General features: G+C 43.1%; 1 annotated feature.

The window, feature by feature from the left end:
* Window positions 684-1,263: an enhancer, noted in NCBI's record as "NANOG hESC enhancer chr20:49703630-49704209 (GRCh37/hg19 assembly coordinates)". NCBI's record gives its function as "activates a minimal SCP1, AML or CMV promoter by ChIP-STARR-seq in naive H9 embryonic stem cells {active_cell/tissue: H9 hESC(naive)}" and the evidence as "EXISTENCE:reporter gene assay evidence [ECO:0000049][PMID:30033119]".

Here is a 2,974-nt window from a genome sequence, read left to right on the forward strand (position 1 = left end):
TGCTGCCTAAAACATTCTGAACCCGTGTCTTATCAGTACCACTGAACAACCTTGTCTTTTCAGGGCTGGTAGCTATATAATTATAGCTACCTTCAGCCTCGCCAGCTCTCTCTTGAAAAGGTTATCGTGAACAGGGGATGAAAAATCATTTGGAAACATAGCCTAGGTCTGTTTTTCAATTGTCTTTTCATCCCATAGTTCAGAGAGTTCGAGAAAATAATGTGTTAGCAGCACATAAGTAACCTCATATACATATGTTTATTTTTTAAATTTATTTTCTATTTTTTGAGATGGAGTCCCGCTGTCGCAGGTGGAGTGCAGTGGCGCGATCTCGGCTCACTGTAACCTCCGCCTCCCGGGTTCAAGAGATTCTCCTGCCTCAGCCTCCTGAGTAGCTGGGACTATAGGCATGCGCCACCACACGCAGCTAATTTTTGTATTTTAGTAGAGACGGGGTTTCACCATGTTGGCCAGGATGGTCTGGATCTCCTGACCTTGTGATCTGCCTGCCTCTGCCTCCCAAAGTGCTGGGATTACAGGCATGAGCCACCGTGCCCAGTCCATATATTTTTTTCTTGAAAAAAATATTTCGTGAGACGATTAAGGTGCGAATTATTTCAGGGAAGGTGTTGGTGAGTGGTCAGTAATTTAAATTAACAGGATTTCCGGGGCTTATTTAAGAGCCTAAAATAGAATTGCTAAAATTCAGAGAGCGTTTTACTTTAACTTCTGCTATAGGGACTCTTTTGCCTTAAAAATGCTTTGTTTTCATCGCCATTAGCTTGCAAAGATATTTTAAAAGTTTAAAATATCCTTAGGATTTTTTTCCTTGTTAATAAACTGGGTTAATGATTTCCATGGAGATTACTTCCAACGAGGCTCTTGTATTTTAGGCAAGCAGCTATCCTGTTGGGATCAGAAAGGAATCATTTGAAACCTTTAATCTCCTAGCAAGACTAAGTGCTTCTGGTGAATGAACCCCTGGGTCTCAGTGGGACATTTGAGAGGCCCTTTAAGGTACAAAGCGCTGTGTTTCAGAAGACATAATCTTTCAAGTAGGACTCACAAGTGAGGGACTTTGACCAGCCTGGTTGAGGGAAGTGTGTGCATGCCTGTGTGTGTGTGTGTGCCTTGCACGCATTGGGGGTTGGGAAATTTGTGTTCTGTTAGTGGAGGGTGTCCTTTATAACACTGAGAATGAGGGTGATGTTCTGGTTTAAAACCCCTGTAACTTACATGAACTTCCACGAGCAGAGACGGGTGTTGTTGAGCAGAGTTTCCTGCACAAAATGTACAGTTGCATCACCTGGCATCTTGTCAAAGCACAGGTTCTGATGCAGGAGGTTAAGGATGGGGCCTGGGATTTGGTGTTTGTGACAAACTCCCAGATAATTCCATCCCCATGCTGCTGGTCCCTGGACCACACGTGGAGTAGAGAGAGTACAGACCACTTCGTTTCACCTCCACTGGGAAGAGACCGAAAATCACATTTTGGATCCTGCCAGTCCTTAGCAGCGCTGATTCTGGTGTATCTTGGGACTTTATGTCATCCCCGAAAAAGGGATCCCCTAAGAAGGGTAAAGCCCGAACACCTTTTAAGTCATCAGTTCTAGACTAGCTGATGTCCTCTAATCCTGGCAAGGAATCTGGCTGCAGGTAAATGGTGGTTGCAGGGGAGACAGATCAGCAATGATTCAGGCAAAACTTTTCTTCTAAAGCAGAAATGATAAATGAAGCTTATTGTTTCTTCAGAATTTCTTTGTGTCATTCTCAGCTACGGGGACTATTAAAGTATATTTCCCAAGGGAGTGGTGGTATTCGGTGATGTCCTTGTTCATTTAGCTGAAGGCAGATTTCCCTGTTTCCCTCAATGGGAGATGATCTTGTACCTGAGTCTTTAGTGAAGAAGCAGCTACACTGAAGCCTTTCATCAGAATTCTCAATGAGGCAGCAGACTCAGAGAGAAGAAAGAAGCAGGCCCTTCTGAGCTTTTTGGAGAATTGCAAAGCAGGCAGCCTGTATCAGGTAGCTACTGACATATAACAAATAACCCCAAAACGTAATGGCTTCAAACAAATAACCTTTTTAAGAATATTTTTTATTATGGATTCAGGGGGTACCTGTGCAAGTTTATTACATGGATATATTGTGTAATGGTGAAGTTTGGGCTTCTAGTGGACGCATCACCCAAACAGTGAACGTTCTACCCAATAAGTGGTTTTTCAACCTCACTCTCATCTCACCCTTCCCCCTTTTGGAGTCCCCAGTGCCTATTATTTCCATCTTGATGTCCTTTCAAGCAATAATTTTTAAACCATTATACTATCCATATGTATCCCATAACATCATGTTGTAAACCTCAAATATACACAATAACATTTATTTTTAAAACATAAATCATTTTTTAAAATGAAAAAGCCCCAATAACCTTTTATTATCATGATTATTTCTCATGAGTTGATGTGTAGGCTGGGCAGTTGTGCTGATCCCAGTTGGTCCCATTGATTTGTCCATGGTCAGCTGGTGGTTCCGCTGGGGGCTGGTGGTCTAGCATGGTCTTTGCTGGGACCACTTGGCTCTTCCACCTACCACCACATTCGTCACAGTCTGACACGTTCCCATGGCGGTGGCAGTGGTCCCTGAGAGAGCTATAGTATCCCAATCATGCAGGAGGACAAGTGGGAATACCCTCAGGCTTTTCAAGCTCTGCTGGCATCAGATGGGCTAACATACCCCAGTGGCCAAAGCAAGTCATATGCCTGAACCCAGAGTCAGGGAGTGTGGGACCAGAAAGCTGAAGCAAAGAGCATGAATGCAGGGAAGCCATTAGTGAAATTCAGGAATGAACAAGCCCCTCTCTTAATGCTTGAGACTGAGTTTGTAAATCTCTGAGTATAGACAAAACTTTTCATTCATTCACTTATTCATTCGTTCATTCATGAAACATTTATTATTTCTCTCTTATGCAAAGCAC

This window comes from Homo sapiens, chromosome 20 (genome assembly GCF_000001405.40).
Source record: "Homo sapiens chromosome 20, GRCh38.p14 Primary Assembly".
NCBI classification, from domain to species: domain Eukaryota; kingdom Metazoa; phylum Chordata; class Mammalia; order Primates; family Hominidae; genus Homo; species Homo sapiens.